This window comes from Homo sapiens, chromosome 3, assembly GCF_000001405.40.
Source record: "Homo sapiens chromosome 3, GRCh38.p14 Primary Assembly".
Taxonomy (NCBI): Eukaryota; Metazoa; Chordata; class Mammalia; order Primates; family Hominidae; genus Homo; species Homo sapiens.
Window position 1 is genome coordinate 149,976,289 of NC_000003.12, and position 16,797 is coordinate 149,993,085.

The following is a 16,797-nucleotide window of genomic DNA, read 5'->3' on the forward strand; positions in this document are numbered from 1 at the left end:
CTCTAATAATTTCTGTATGAGGATTTCAGTTTCTCCACATATGCACCAACAGTTGATATTGTGTGTCTTTTTAATTTTAAACATTTTGCTAGTTGTATTATGGTATTTAATTATGGCTTTAATTTGCATATTTCCAATGACAAAGGTGAGCATCTTTTTCTTGTTGTTAGTCATTTAGATACTTTTTTGTGAAGTGCTTGTGCAAATCTTTTGCTACATATTTTTCATTGTTAATGACTGTGCAGTAGTCCATCAAGTGGCTGTATCATAAGTTATCATTTCTTATTGAAATATCAGGTAAGTTGAGAAAAAATAACCAAAAAAAAACTTCTTTATGATCTGTGTGGTGGTGAACTTTGAATTGTGTGGAAATGGATGAAATACATTCTTTTAAATGTCTGATGGCAAGATTTAAAATATGAAGTGTGGCACTTAATTCAGTTAATCAAATGTGATAGACATTGCTGGTTTGCCTATCCAGTATGTACTCTTCTTCCTTGCTAACAGAATCTTGAATTTGCTTGAGATAATAGTAAATAATTTAAAATACCTCCATAAATGCCCTTCCAGCTAGGGTGGTCATCTAGTCCATTGGCCAATAAACTAGATCAAAAGCTACTTCATGGAAAGCTATTTTTTCCTTGATACCTATATCTTTCTGTAAAGGACTGCTCAGCTGGCATAAGCTTTCTACTTTTAACCTGTCTTTTCTCTTGTCCAGATTGTGATTCAGTGTCAAAGTGGGGCAGTCATTCGTAAGTGCTGAGCATTGTGGAGCAGGAGGGGAAAGGGGCCTGTTCTCTCAAGGACCTTCACTATCCATTCATTTCCTACCCCCAGACTCTTGTTAGATTGGGTAAATAAACTCCTTACTTGGTTAAAGTACTGTAATCAGCCTGTGTTAAGTGCAACCAGACCCTGCTCTAACCAGAATATCCATTTTGCTATCCCACTTCAGGTCTCTAAGCATTCTAGTTTATCCAGTTTTGCTTTTCCATAATGAGTTAAGCTCTTGAGGAAATGCTTTACATCTATTGCATCCCTATTGTAATAATGACTGAATTAGCCATATCATAGAAAATTGCTCTACTGTTTGTTTTTTTTTTTTTGGCAATAATACATTAAATAGTGCCCTAGAGGCTTCAACGATTTCGTGTACCTCCCTAAATATCACATTAGCTGACAGAAAATTCCTTATGAGTTATGACTCATTTTTTCTGATTTGATGCAGAAAAGAGAATTCTGGAAGCACATGTAGAGCATTTCATTCCAAGTTATATGTGAACTTGAGAGATGTTTTTTGTAGAATTCCAAGGGTAAAGGCACAAAGCCTACAAAAACATTGGCCATCTTGTTATCTGATATGAGAGAAATGCAGGCAATCCATCAAAACACCCCCCAAAGAGATTACATGTCTAATTTTTCTTCATCTCAGTCCCAGAGGACAAATAATAAAATTTAATTAAGTAGCTGTTTCCCCCAAAAAAGTATTAAATGAGGCTTTTAAAATCTTTTATTTTTACCCAATGAAACTCAGATATCACTTCTGGGAAAAATTCTTTCTGGGTTCACAAACATACTGACAGAGAACTAAAAGGAAAGTGTAAATTGAGCAATGGCTGTGTTCCATTTACAAGCATTTTAAAAGTGAATGTCAAATATATAGATGTCTAAATCATTTGATTTTCAAAGAATGTAAACTTCACCACCACCAGCTACAGCACCCGCATTCTTATTGAGAAATTTATATTAGGTAGCTAATTATGCACATAATAAGACTGTCAAAGATCATGTTGACACCTTATCCCACTTTACCATTTCAGGCTGATCCAAACTCATAATATGAATAGATGGACATTGACCAAAGAGACCAGCAGCAGAACAAAAGCATAAACAAACATGAGAGTAGGCTAATTTTACCAACCTGAGGTCAAAAGTAAGTATTTTTAGAAGTAAGTGAGTAACTAGATGAAGTAGATGATGAAGGTGGTATGCAGGACTGTTAATAACTGAAATTCCAAATAGAATCCAGGGAGGTTAAAGTGAAACACTTTCAATACGATGCCTTTATGTTGTAGAGGTTAGACTCACTTGATGACTTACATGGCTTGTTTTCAAGACCTCTTGAACAAAATATTTAATTGGAACAATTTATTTGCTATCAGTTCTTTTAGTGGATAGTAGATATTCCTGGTAATATTTACATTTTTCAAGTCATATAACAAGTATTGAGCTCTTGCTCTTGTTACATATAACAAGTATTGTAGCTCTTGTTACAGGTAACAAGTGTTGCAGCTCTTGCTACCGCTGTACTTGTTGGTATGTATTAAGGATAACATTTGTTAAAAAGGCCCTTGCCCTCTGATTTAAAGTCAGGCAGGAAAGTAATGCATGCAAAGCACGTGAGCAATGTGGTCTGGCTGTAGAGTATGTGAGAGGCAAACAAGGATATGAACTAATTATATTACCATTAGATCACAAAATCAGGTGGTAAACACTCTAGAAGGGCAGAGATGGTGAAAATTAATGGAGGCTGGAGTTATAAGAAACTAATAAAACAATGTTTCATAGAAAAGACCCAAGTACTGTTAGACCTTAAGGAATGGGTAGAACTGAAGTTTGGTTTTCAAAATCATAGAGACAGCATAAGCCACTGATTCCCCCTTCCACTAGAAAAAGCAGCCCACAGAATGAGAGAAGATATTTGCAACACATACATCTGACAAAGTACTTCATATGGTTTGGCTCTGTGTCCCCACCCAAATCTCATGTTGAATTGTAATCCTCACATGTCAGGGGCAGGGCCTTGTGGAAGATGACTGAATCATGGGGTGGACTCCCTGCCTTGCTTTTCTTGTGATAGAGTTCTCATGAGATCTGGTCGTTTGAAAGCATGTACCACTTCCCTCTTCGCTCACTCTCTCCCTCCCGCTCCACCATGTGAAGATTGTGCCTGCTTCTCCTTCACCTTCTGCCATGATTGTAAATTTCCTGAGGCCTCCCCAGCCATGCCTCCTGTACAGAGACTGTGGAACTGTGAGTCAATTAAACCTCTTTTCTTTATGAACTACTGAGTGTCAGGTAGTTCTTTATAGCAGTGTGAGAACAGACTAATATAGTACTCGTTCAAAATATGTAAGTAAACTATAGGACAACAGAAAAAGGGTGACAATTTGTAAGAAAAGTGGGCAAAGGCTTGAATGGAAAATCTGCAAAAGAGATTACAGGCCAATAACCACAGGAGAAGATGTTCAACTGCATTATTCACCAGGAAAAAGAAAATTATCTTTTGCACCATCTTATACCCATTAGGATGGCTATTATAATAAAAAAAAAACAGAAAATACTAAGTGTTGGTAAGGATGTGGAGAAACTGGAATCCCTGTGCACTCTTGGTGGGAACGTAAAATGGTACAACCAATATAGAAAATAGTAAGGTGGTTCCTCAAAAAATTAAAAATATGATTGCCATATGATCCAGAAGTTTCATTTCTGGGTATAAAAACAAAAGAAGTGAAAGTAATAACTCAAACAGATGTGGCACACCCATGTTCATAGCAGCATTATTTCCAATAGCCAAAAGGTAGAAGTAACCCAAGTGTCCATGACAGATGGATAAACAAGTGGTGGTATATACATACAATGGAATGTTATTTAGCCTTAAAAAGGAAGAAAATTCTGACACATGCTAAGACACGGATAAATCTTGAGGACATTATGCTTAGTGAAATAAGTCAGTCGCTAAATGACAAATATTGTATGATTCCACTTATATGAGATACTTAGATCAGTTAAAATCATAGAGATAGTAAATAGAATGGAGTACCAGGCCTGGAGGGAGGAGGAAATGAATTATTGTTTAATGGGTACAGAGTTTCAGTTTAAGAAGATGAAAAGAGTTCTATATGTGGACGATGGTAATGGTAGCACAATAATGTGAATAGAATTTATTCTACTGATCTGTACACTTTAAAATTGGTAAGATAGTAAGTTTTGTTATGTGTATTTTACCACAATTGAAGTTTAACCACAATGCAATATCACTATTTGCCTATTAGAATGGCAAAAATGAAAAAGAGAGAAAATACCATGTGTTACCAATCAGAACAACACATACACTGACTGCTATTAGAAGCGTAAAATAGTACAATAATTTTGGATGATGCTTGCAGTGTCTACTATAACTGAACATACACAAACCTAAGACTTCACAGTTCCACTCCTAGATATATATCCAAGTAAAAATGCTTCCATGTCTTCCCTAAAAGACTGCAAGAATGTTCACAGCACAATTCATAGTAACTCCAAACTGGAAACACCCAAATGCCTATCAAAAATAGGATGGATAATAAATGTTATATTCATGCAATGGAATATTATACAGCAGTGAGAATAAACATAATGGTAACTATTTTCAACATATGAATGAAACTCACAAACATACAGTTAAAAAATGCCAGATAAAGTGTATCCTTTGGGTAGATTATTTGAAGGGTGCCCTGGAGTAGTGTTATAGTACTGTTTCTTGATCTCAGGGCTATTTATATGGATGTGTTAACTCTGTGGAAATTCATCAAGCTATATACCTATAACTGGTGCAATTTTCTGTATTTTTGTGATAATTAAAATGAGAAATTTTGAAATCCCAACAGTTATGTGTGTGTGCATGTGTGTGTGTCTGTATGAGAGATAGTGAGTGAGAGAGACAGAGAGAGAAAAAATTGGCAAACTGTTAATAAAATTCATACATAAATGCAAAGGACCAAGAATAACCAAGAAAATGTTTCTTGAAGAACAACAGAATTGGAGGACATTCACTATTGGCTATCAAGTCTACAGTATATGTAATATTGGCACAAGGATAAACATACAGGTCAGTAGGCCAGAATAGAGACTCCAGAAATAGATCTATGTATGGTCAATCACTTTTTCAAATAGATGTCAAGGTAATGGGAGAAGATAATTTTTTCAAAAAATAGTGCTGGAATAACTGGACATCTGTGCAAAAAAATGAACCTCTACCCTTACATCTCACTCTCTGCAAAAAATGAAAGGGGATCCTAACCTAAATTTAAGAGCTAAAATTATAATATTTCTAGAAGAAAATGAAGAAGTCTTTGTGACCTTGAATTAGGCAAAGAATTCTTAATTAGGACACAGAAAAGCATGAATCACAAAAGAAAAAAATGATAAATTGGACCTTATCAAAAAGTTTTTAATTTCTTTCTTTATACTACAAACTCATACACTGATAATGGGAATGTAAAATATGGTACAGCCTTTTGGAAAACAACTTGGCAGTTTCTTAAAATTTTAAACACAAACCCACCATATGACTGAGCTATTGTACTCTTAAGTATTTATCATGGAACTTTTTTTTTTTTTTTTTTAAGATTCTGAAAACCCTGTCACCTGCTTTATTTCTGGAGAAGGGTAAAGGGAGAAGGGAAAATATTCACTTGAATTTGAGGGGCAGCTAAACTGGAAGCAACAATTTCAGGCCTCTAAGGTTCCTCTGATCCATAAGGGAATGCTGAAACTTCCTTGTTTGGAGATTCAAAGAGTTTAATTTTTCCCTACAGCAAGATCAACAATTTTCACTGGGATAAAAGAATAAAGAACAAACTCAATAGCACCAAATGGGGTTTTAACACAGAAAACAGGGCCACTCCTTTTGAATGCAAATTTTTACATTAAAATATGTTTATAAATCATAGTAGTTGTTTTCCCTCTTGATTCAACATTTCTCCCTCCCCTAACAGGAGCCCTAGAACCTGAAGAGCATGTACATTACTAACGAGATATACAATCCAGCCACCCTGTCCAAACTGGAATCTGATTACTAATGGACTACACTCGAGGCTGCCCCCAAGGGATGGGAAGCAGTAACTACGCTCTCAGGGAGAATGGGTACTGAGGATGCCACCAGTCAAAGAGCCGAACGCTGTGCACTGGGTCCAGGATGACTTGCACACCCTGTTCACTGCGCAGTTTCCGACCACCATGGACAGGGGAATCTTGGAACACCAGTCTCACTCGATGATGCCGCATGTCCGTGCTCACATTGATAGTAAACAGAGTAAATATCATTCCCATGACAATCGGAATAAAGATGAAATTGAGGGTGGTGACCTGCAGTAGGCAGCAGTCCTGGTCTGGATTGGTATGAACATCTTCGTACTGAACGGGAGGCTGCAATCCTCCTGTACACTTGCTCTTTAACCTAGGGGACTGTTTTTTGAACTTGAAGTTGAATTCCCACATTGGTTCCTGTCTGTTCCCAACAATCTTTCTGCACCAGAAAAGTAAGCATTTGGAATTCTTTAATGTGCTGGGGGTGCTTTCTGGAATGGCTGGATTCTTGGAGATTCGAGCAGCAAATGGCTCATACATATGGTACAGAGATCGGATCACACAAGCCCGGAGACAGTGCAGCTTCTCCATTGACTCTGGTCGCAGACGCAAAGGCAGGGAAGCATCCAGCGTGTAGTGCCTTCGGTACAACCTGGTCCAAAAGGCAGCAGTGCAAGTGACAGTCCAGGCATTCTTACAAATCAGGGAAAAATTCACAATGTCCTCAGGACGGATATAGGAGGCCAGCAATAGCCAAATATCCATGGGATACTCTTCTCCTCCAGCCCCGTCCAGTTCTTCTTTGTGTCTCTTGCTTTTCTTTTTTCTGGAGACAGTTCTCTCATGGATGTTTTCCTCCTGGGCATCCATCTCATCACTGCTGTCGATGATGTCATAGGGCTCACCAGCCCCAGAAAGAGCTTCCTCTGCAGGAACCTGAGAGGCTTCCAAGCCACAAAGAGATTTTACTTCCTGCCGAACAGCGTTGGCTACGGCTTTCTTGACTCGTCCAGACCTCACGACCGCCAGATCCGAGTCGGCGTAATCCGCCACGGTCACTCGGCCGGAGCAGGCGTCGTGGGCCCGGAACTTGAGTCGCTTTCCTCTCTTGGGCATGGCGACCGTATCGGGGCGAGGCCTGCCTAGCGGGCCGGGCCCCCGGGCCATGTCTCCGGCCAGAGAGCCGGCCCCGGTAGCCGCAAGCCAGCTCCGCCCGGCTCCGCGGCCATCCCACACCCTATCATGGAACTTTAAATCACATGTTTACACAAACACTTGGACAAAAATGGTTTTAGCAGCTTTATTTGTAATAACCCCAAACTGGTAAAAAACTAAATGTCCATCAGCAGAGGTATGGATTAGAAAATTGTGATGTATTCATATAATGGAATATTATTCAACAATAAAAAATAACACATCTGATACATCCAACAACAGTGAATCATGTTTAATGAAAGAAGCCAGACCACTCCCCACCACAAAAGAGCACTAACTGATAAAGCTGACCTAAGAAGCTTTGAAATGCAATATTTTGACTTGATACTACAAGGCAGACAAAACTACACAAACACTACACTCTGGTTGGTAAATCTGTTTCTCACAGGAGCTTGGTTAGCAATTCTGAAACTCTTTTACATGTTGTGTTTTCTAAGGCTGCTGTAACAAATTACCACAGACTTGGTGGCATAAAGCAGGAGAAATTTAATCTTTCACAGTTCTGAAAACCGGAAGTCCAAAATCAAGGTGTCAGAGCTGCGGTATCTCTGAAGTCTCTAGGGGAGAATCCTTCTTTGTGTCTTCCAGCTCCTGGTGACTTCAGGTGTTCGTTGACTTGTGGCTGCTTCACTACAGTCTCTGCCTCTGTCTTTACCTGGTCTTCTCGTCTTGCCTCTATGTTTCTCTTCTCTGCGTGTCTCTTATAAGGATACTTGTCATTGGATTTAGGGCCCACTGGGATAATCTAATGTAAATGAATCTTAAGATCCTTGATTATGTCTGTGAAGACCCCTTTTCTAAGTAAGGTTACATTCACAGCTTCCAGTGGTTAAGACATAGGCATATATTTTTGAGGATCACCAATCAACCTAATACACATGTATATAAAATGAATAAGTGCTTTGCAAACACTGTCACTGCCCAGAGCCCCTGACACCAGCCATAGTCGACCCCACCATGCTCTTTGACATCACTGTCAGTGGTGAGTCCTTGGGCCACATTTCCTTAGATCCATTTGCAGACAAAGCTATTAATACAAAGACAGCAGAAAATTTTCATGCTCTGAGCACTGGAGAGAAAGAATTTGGTTATTAAGAGTTCTTGCTTTCACAGTATTATTCCAGGATTTATGTGTCTGGGTGGTGATTTCACATGCCATAATGGCACTGGTGGAAAGTCCATCTATGCGGAGAAATTTGATGATGAGAGCGTCATCCTGAAGTATACAGGTTCTGGCATCTTGTCCATGGCAAATGCTGTACTCAACACAAATGGTTCCCATTTTTTCATCTGCACTGCAAAGACTGAGTGGTTGGTAGGCAAGCATGTGGTCTTCGGCAAGGTAAAAGCAGGCACTAATAAGGTGGAAGCCATGGAATGCTTTGGGTCCAGGAATGGCAAGACCAGCAAGAAGATCATTGCTGACTGTGGAAAACGCTAATAAATTTGAATCATGTTTTATGTTAACCACAAGAGAATTGCTTCTGTAGCTCAGGAGAGCACCCCTCCAACCCATTTGCTCACAGTATCCTATAATCTTTGTGCTATCTCTGCTATTCTTTAGGTTCCATATTTTCCTTATTCCCTTCCATGTCTAGCTGGATTACACAGTTACATTTATGATCATGAAATAAAAACTAAATAACAAAAAATAAAAAATAAAAATTGAATAAGAAAATATATTGTAAATAATGAGAGCCAGGTTTCTCACTGACATGAGAAAGAAGTTACAAATGGGCAAGAGTGAAAGGTTAGAATGACCCCTGTGGTGCTGGATTAGAGTCACATTTATCAGCATGAGTTTATATTAATATGTATACAGATATATGAGCATAAATACAGGTATTGTAGATACATGGGTTAGTATACATACATATATCTCCTACTTCTGTTCACTAACAGAAGCTGAAGCAATGACACTCAAGTAGTAACAAGTAGACATACTACTTAGATCTTTATTTCTAAATACCTTTTTTTTGTTTGTTTGTTTGTTTGAGATGGAGTCTCACTCTGTCACCCAGGCTGTAGTGCAGTGGCATGATCTTGGGTCACTGCAACCTCTGCCTCCCAGGTTCAAGCAATTCTGCCTCAGCCTCCCGAGTAGCTGGGATTACAGCCACGCACCACCATGCCCTGCTAACTTTTGTATTTTTAGTAGAGATGGGGTTTCACCATGTTGGCCAGGGTCTCAAACTTGTGACTTCAGGCGATACACCCGCTTCGGCCTCCCAAATCTAAATACCTTTTTCCAACAAACAGAACCAGTGCTCCTTAAAGAAATAGTTGTTTCTAGATCTAGAGCAGAGTAAATACAATATGAGCCTGGAGCATCTTACAGTGCCAGAAAGGAAGTGTCCAGAAAAAAACTCTATAGAGATGGAAATTAGATTAGTGAATGCCTATGGCTGAGACTGAGAATGGGAAAATGACTGCAAATGAAGATGAGGCTTCCTTTCGGGATGGTGGAAGTATTCTACAATTAGCTTGTCCTATTAGTTTTACAACTCTGTAAATATACTAAAATTCATATTGATATCATGTACCTCCTGATGTGATGAGTATGAAAGTTGAATATGTGCATACACGTCAATAAATTTTATGGTATATAAATTATACCTCAACAAAGCTGATTAAGAAGAAAGTGCTCTATAAAACAAACAAAAAAAAGGCCAGGCACAGTGGCTCACACCTGTAATCCCAGCACTTTGGGAGGCCGAGGCGGGGGGATCACGATGTCAGGAGATCAAGACCATCCTGGCTAACACGGTGAAACCCCCATCTCTACCAAAAATACAAAAAATTAGCCAGGTGTGGTGGCACACACCTGTAGTCCCAGCTACTTGGGAGGCTGAGGCAAGAGAATCGCTTGAACCTGGGAGGCGGAGGTTGCAGTGAGCCAAGATCGCGCCATTGCACTTCAGCCTGGGAAACAAAGCAAGCTTCCATCTCAAAAAAAAAAGAAAGAAAGAAAAAAAAAAAGGATGGTGTATATTGAAGACACACAAGAACCAACTGAAAGTGCTACCAATGGCCAAAGTTGGAACAATCTGAGCAACAAATTAAGTAATGGTAGTATTGGATTAAAGCCCCAAAATAGAATCTTCGTGATATTCATGACTCCATACTGACATACATACATACATACATAAATGGGTAAGAAGGGACAAATCTTCCTTACAGAAGAATTGTAAGTACTAAATATAGAAGGAATGAGAGAAATAGAAAATCACCATTAGAACACCACAGTAATAGCTACTATGAGCAAGATCCACTGATGAATGCTAAAATTAGTGAGTGAAACTTTTAGGATGAGTGAGATATTTGCATAAACTCAAAGTATTTCCTTCTAAATATTTATTAATTACTGTGGTCATTTAACATAAGCCTATAAAGTCTTTCATATACTCTCCTCCAGAGGTAGAGTTTAACTCCTTTTCCCTTGAGTGTAGGCTGGACTTAGTGACTTGGTGCTAATGAACAGAATATGAAAAGGGAAAAATAGCAAGAGAAGAGTGGCAAGCATGACCCTAAGTGGGTCAAAGTTAGCATCAACAATAATAAGTCATGTTGATATAATGTGCATGCTGATATGTGATAAATATGTATCTTTGGGGTTTATTCGTTTGTTTGTTTGTTTGTTTGTTTGTTTTGAGACACAGTCTTGTTCTGTTGCCCAGACTGGAATCCAGTGGCGTGATCTCAGCTCACTGCAACTTCTGCCTCCTAGGTTCAAGCAAGTCTCATGCCTCAGCCTCCTGAGTAGCTGGGACTACAGGTACTCACCACCACGCCTGGCTAATTTTTTTTTTTTTTGTATATTTAGTAGAGACAGGGTTTCACCATGTTGCCCAGGCTAGTCTTGAGCTCCTATGATGTGATATATATCAAATCTCCCAAAGCTGATCGTACCCATACCCTAGGACCTATTCATTCCAACCATAGGTATACATGCAACAAAAACGTGTTCACATTTTTTGCACCAAAAAACCTTTAAAAGAGGCTGAAAAACAGCATTATTTATAATAGCCCAATAAGTAATACCTAGCTCAAAAGACTATTTTGAGGACTAAATAAAGACTATTTTGAGGACTATATAATATATATATAAAATATACAAAGTAGGACCACAGGCTCTGGTACAATAGACAATAAAAAGCTGTCATCATCATCATCATCATTATAATAAACAAGGGGGGCTGGGTGAGGTGCCTCACACCTGTAATCCCAGCACTTTGGGAGGCCAAGGATCACCTGAGGTCAGGAGTTCAAGACTAGATTGGCCAACATGGTGAAGCCCCATCTCTACTAAAAATAAAAAATTACCTAGGTGTGGTGGCAGACGCCTGTAATCCCAGCTACTTGGGAGGCTGAGGCATGAGAATCGCTTGAACCTGGGAGGCAGAGGTGGCAGTGAGCTGAGATTATGCCACTGTACTCCAGCCTGGGGGATAGAGCAAGACTCTGTCTCCAAAAATACAAGGAGAACCTTCCTTTTAACTCTGGGCCATTCTTTGTTGCATATGCCTCCAAAGCAGCTCAGCTTGGGTAAATCTCACAAAGTCCCACTTGACTGTGTCTGCTTTTAGCCTCTCCAAAGAGGTTCAAAATCAGCCAAAAAAGAAGACATGCCATCCTATCTCTATTCATCAGCTCAACACAAAAGATCCCATTTGTGTGTGTGGCCAAAACTGCCCTTCTCCCTGCTCCCCTAGGTGAAGTAAGGATGTGAAGAAGCCATGGATTGGGTAGGAAGCTTTGAAAATGGCATCTTCCAAGGTTAACTAATTAGAAGATATTTTGCTTGTCATGTCACTCAAGCTCAAGCAGAAGATAGGCTCTAGTCATTATGTGGTGATATAAGCATAAAAATAGAATAAGTTTAAATTGAAACAAGTGGTGTTTATGAAGGGTTATGAGCTTCTAACTAATGAGTTAACAAAAAGTATAGAATAATTGGATTGTTAATTAGCACCAGGGGTCAGTTGCATCACCAAATAAAAAAGAGGTCCATTCATGTATTCCAAAACGATAAATTTCCTAAATGTCCTACAGAGGTTTGCTAAGCACACAGACTGAGGTAATGAAACTCTGGTGGTTCCAGCAAAAGCAATAAAGTACCAATAAGAACATATATGTTGTTTAAAACCCTAATATGACAGATCAATCTACCCCAATATAGGGTAATGTATTATATCATCTTGACCAAGTGAGACTTTAAAATACATTATTTCAGAAAACAAACACCAAGTTCTGGGGGCAAACTAAAATCTAGAGAAAGGAGTTGACTTTAAAAAGTTTAAGCAACCTAACAACAAAGTTTAATAATAAGAAAGAGAGGCTATTGTCTTAGGTTTAAGTCACTTTAGAAGAAAAAACTGAATTTTGTGTAATCCCAGCACTTTGGGAGGCTGAGGTGGGAGAATCACGAGGTCAGGAGTTTGAGACCAGCCTGGCCAACATGGTGAAACCCCGTCTCTACTAAAAATACAAAAAATTAGCTGGATGTAGTGGTGGGTGCCTGTAATCCCAGCTACTCAGGAGGCTGAGGCAGAAGAATCACTTGAACCTGGGAGGTGGAGGTTGCAGTGAGCCAAGATCATGCCACTGCACTCCAGCCTGGGCGAGAGAGTGAGAATCCATCTAAAAAAAAAAAAAGAAAAAAAATCCAGGACCCCAGGGAATTTGGGGTTGAGTAAAAATTACTACCCAGAAGGTATCCAACTAATAGTACTGAAACATTAGGAAGAAATCAAAATAAGTTTATCTCTAATCCTAGAAAGGTATAAAACAACTTTAAGGAAGAAATAAATTCACCACATGGTACTTGATGTTTGGAATAGCTTAAGGTTAAATGTTGTAATAAGTTTTGTTGTTTTATCTACAAAATGCATTTTGTGTATTTTGTATTTTAGGGTGTTGAAATGTTCAAAAGAATCAGACATACTAAATTTGCAATTGCTGTTTAAAGGAATTTAATCAAATTTTGTATCAATACCTAAATGCTCACTCCACTGACATTAAGGTTCATATAATTGTGAGTGTTCCTCTCTATGCAAAAACTCTCTCAGATATTAAAGGCTAATCTACATGCCAGCAAACTCAGTCTCTGCAGAGAGAAGGACCGTGACTCAAAATGCACCCTGTGTGCTGGGAAGATTTCTGTCTTAGTGTGCTTGGACTGCTATATCAAGTACCACAGACTGGGGGATTTAAACAACAGAAATTTACTTGCTCACAATTATAGCAGCTAGAAGTCTGACATCAAGGTGTCGACAAGATTACTTTCTTCTGAGGTTTTTCTCCTTGGCTTGTAGATGGCCATCTTCTCTCTGTAGTAATACATGGTTTTTCCTCTGTGCCTATCTGTCTCCTAATGTCCTCCTCTTGTAAGGACACCTGTTATATTGGATTAGGGCCCACCCATATGAGCTCATTTTACCTTAATTACCTCTTTACAGGCCCTGGCTCTATAGTCACATCTTTAAGGTACTGGATGGGTGTTAGGATTTCAACATACGTGTGAATTTTGGGGAGCACAATTCAGCTCATAATGATTTCCAAGAACCAAGAGACTGAGGGCTCAAACACGGTGGGCAGAAGAACCCAGCCTTGGAAAGGATCTGCGATGGAAACTCTGGGGGTATAGAAAAGGAATTGAATGATATGAGGAGCAGAAATCAGAGAGGAGGGTGTATTCTGAGGAAGCGAGAGAGGAGCCCCAAGGGTTGTGGTACAGAGGCCCCTGTCTGCACATTGGTCATCATAATCTCAATGCCCAGGTTGTACTCAAGAACAATTCAATCAGAATGTCTGGGGGTGAAACCTGGGCATCAGTAACTTTTAAAGCTCCCCAAGTGATTCCAACTGTGCAGCCAAGGTTGAAAACCTAAAGGTTTGATCACAAGGCCTTCAGCTCCAGTACCCTACACAAAGAAAGTTAGACTAGAGGATGGAACTTTCTGACCTCTTGCTCTGCAAAAGGTGGGGACGAATGGCCCCCACAGCCACACCATAGTAAATGGCAGGTGTCTTGATCATCTTCACTCTGACCCAGAGGGTCGTCTGAAAGAGCCTCTGGTTGTAATGACTCCTACTAAGGAATACTAAATCTGACATTCCTGTCTCCCTTGACTCTTTCTAGGCACTTTACCCCTGATCTTGAGCTTCAGGGTTTTTCCATAGCTGTGTCCAACCCCCACCCACACTCTCCCCACCCTCTATCCCCAAAAAGAAAGAAAAAGAGGAAGTGGGAAAGTGTGTTTAATATATTTGCAGATGTACATATTCACAAATATGTTGGGAATGTTTGAGCCATGTTAATTGGGTGAATACTTTGACCCAATCCTTCAGGAATATTGAATCATGGGAATACTGTACTTAGAACAACACAATATTACCATGGGCCTCTCTGCCCTGCGCAAATATTAGTCTTTAACTGGAATGACCAAAAACAGATGTTTCATATCTAGAATGTTTTCTCACAGAGAGTTTCAATAGAAATATTTTAGCCCCTCAGATACATCCAAATAAAATATTTGGTCTTGAAACATTCTATTTTAAAAGTCAGTGAGTTGTGGCTTCATTATAGCAGAAGAAGCATGAATCAGAGACCTGTTTTCATTTGTCACCTTCAGGATAAGCAAGAGTGAACAGTGAAAAGTGATAAAATTCTGAACTCTTGTGATTCGGAGATGATTTTTTTTAAAAACATGCATCCCTCATGTAATAAACCTGAGAAATGCCAGTGACATTTGCTATAAAACATGCATGGTGCCTCCTTTCATGCTTATTTGCATTATAAAACCAGAGGTGACTTTTGATTAGAAAAAATTGTCCCTGGGATATACTAAAACCATTGCATGTAGCCAAATTTTAGTCACACCTTCAAAGAAACATGTATCACTTTAAAAAAGACCTAATATGGCCAAAATGTTAGTATTATTGATATGGCATATTCAAAATAAACTACAGGAAAAAAACATGGAAAGTAAAAATATTATACAACAATGCCTCTCAAATTTTAATTTGCATAAGAACCACCTGGGGGATCTTGCTAATTCTGACTCTGGGAGGGCCCAATATTCTGCATTTCTAACAAGCTCCCAGGGAATGCTGTTGCTGCCAGTCTCTGGCAAAGGCTCTGAAAGCTTGATTTCTTCCGTATTAATTATGCCCACTCTAAAGGTAAAGCCTTGGTTCTTCGCTAACATTTTCATCAGCTTTGAACAGTCCTGACAGTTACAACTTTATATTACCACCCCTCTTTTTTTTTTTTTTAAACTCCTGCGGGATCTCTTCTTGAACAAATTTTCCCTTACCATCACTGTTTTACTTGATAATATGGCCTATAAGGACAAAAACTGCATAAGGTTTATGAACTCTCATTATTAATGAGCAAACAGACTTCTCCCCAGTGTAGGATTGAAAGTCTACTAGTAAGGAAATGTTTAGCAATGATCACCACATCACCTCCTGTAATGGTAATGGCAACTCCTGCTGACTACTTACTATTTGTCAGACATAATGGTGATTTATTTAAGTCATCTTAATTAAATGTTAAAATAAATCAATGAAGTATTTATTTTATTTAGCAAACACTTATATAATGCTTTCTACATACAGGCATTATTTTGAGTGCTTTACAAATATTCACTCAATTAATCCACATAAATCATATAAGGTTGGTGTTACTCATCTTACAGATAAGAAAGTTAAGGCATGGAGAAGGTGAGTACTTGCCTAAAGTTATTTAGTTAGGAGATGGTTTGATTGAACCTACATAGTTTGGCACTTAATCATCTTCCTAAACAGAGGAAGGAGTGGGTCGCTCTGTCGCTGAGGCTGGAGTGCAGTGGCACTATCTCGGCTCACTGCAAGCTCCGCCTCCCGGGTTCACGTCATTCTCCTGCCTCAGCCTCCCGAGTAGCTGGGACTACAGGCACCCGCCACCACACTTGGCTAATTTTTTGTATTTTTAGTAGAGACGGGGTTTCACCATGTTAGCCAGGATGGTCTCAATCTCCTGACCTCGTGATCCGCCCGCCTCGGCCTCCCAAAGTGCTGGGATTACAGGCGTGAGCCACCGCGCCCGGCCAATAATCACATTTCTAACAGATCACCTAAGAACACTGGAATTCAACAAAGAAATGACAGTAGACACCTAAGACAAAGGAGAGGGGAGTGAGGTAGTCAGCTCAGGGATGACAGGATCAGTTGGGAGTCTGCAGAGGCTCCTCAATGTGGGGAAAGAGTAAGTGACTCCCAGTGATCTACATTCTCACTGCAGACTCTCCCAATCCTAGCCATGGGAGAGCCCCTCAACTCATGAGGGCCCTGAGACTAACATAGGGATCTGCCTGGAGACTGCATAACAGGATTGCTTCAGAGAGGGGTCCCACAGATGCCTGGAGTCCTAAGCAGCTACAGCAAAGTGCCACTTTGAGAGTCCAGCTCCCACCAGCCTGCATCCTGCCCTGGGGCTCAGTAGCCCTTTCATCTCCATATCCATAGAGCCCCACTGACATACCTTGCATGCAGCCAGGTGCTGCTGCTAGTTGCTGCCACCAGGGCTGAAGTGCAAACTATTGGGAGCAACCCTGCCACTCCCAGTAGCATGGCTGCTTTGAAAGCACCCTGAGGACAGGCTATCCTCCTTAAATCTGCCACCAAGGGCCCAAGTTTGTATGCCCCCCTGCCATACATTTAAGACTGCAGCCACTGAAAGCAACC

The 16,797-nt window shown here is 39.8% G+C and overlaps 2 pseudogenes, besides 1 other annotated feature; one reads left to right on the forward strand and one right to left on the reverse strand.

Annotated features, from left to right (window-relative positions):
• On the reverse strand, positions 5,981-7,020 carry TMEM183BP (transmembrane protein 183B, pseudogene; annotated as a pseudogene).
• On the forward strand, positions 7,970-8,716 carry PPIAP73 (peptidylprolyl isomerase A pseudogene 73; annotated as a pseudogene).
• Positions 16,296-16,797: an enhancer, noted in NCBI's record as "H3K4me1 hESC enhancer chr3:149710371-149710872 (GRCh37/hg19 assembly coordinates)". NCBI's record gives its function as "activates a minimal SCP1, AML or CMV promoter by ChIP-STARR-seq in primed H9 embryonic stem cells {active_cell/tissue: H9 hESC(primed)}" and the evidence as "EXISTENCE:reporter gene assay evidence [ECO:0000049][PMID:30033119]".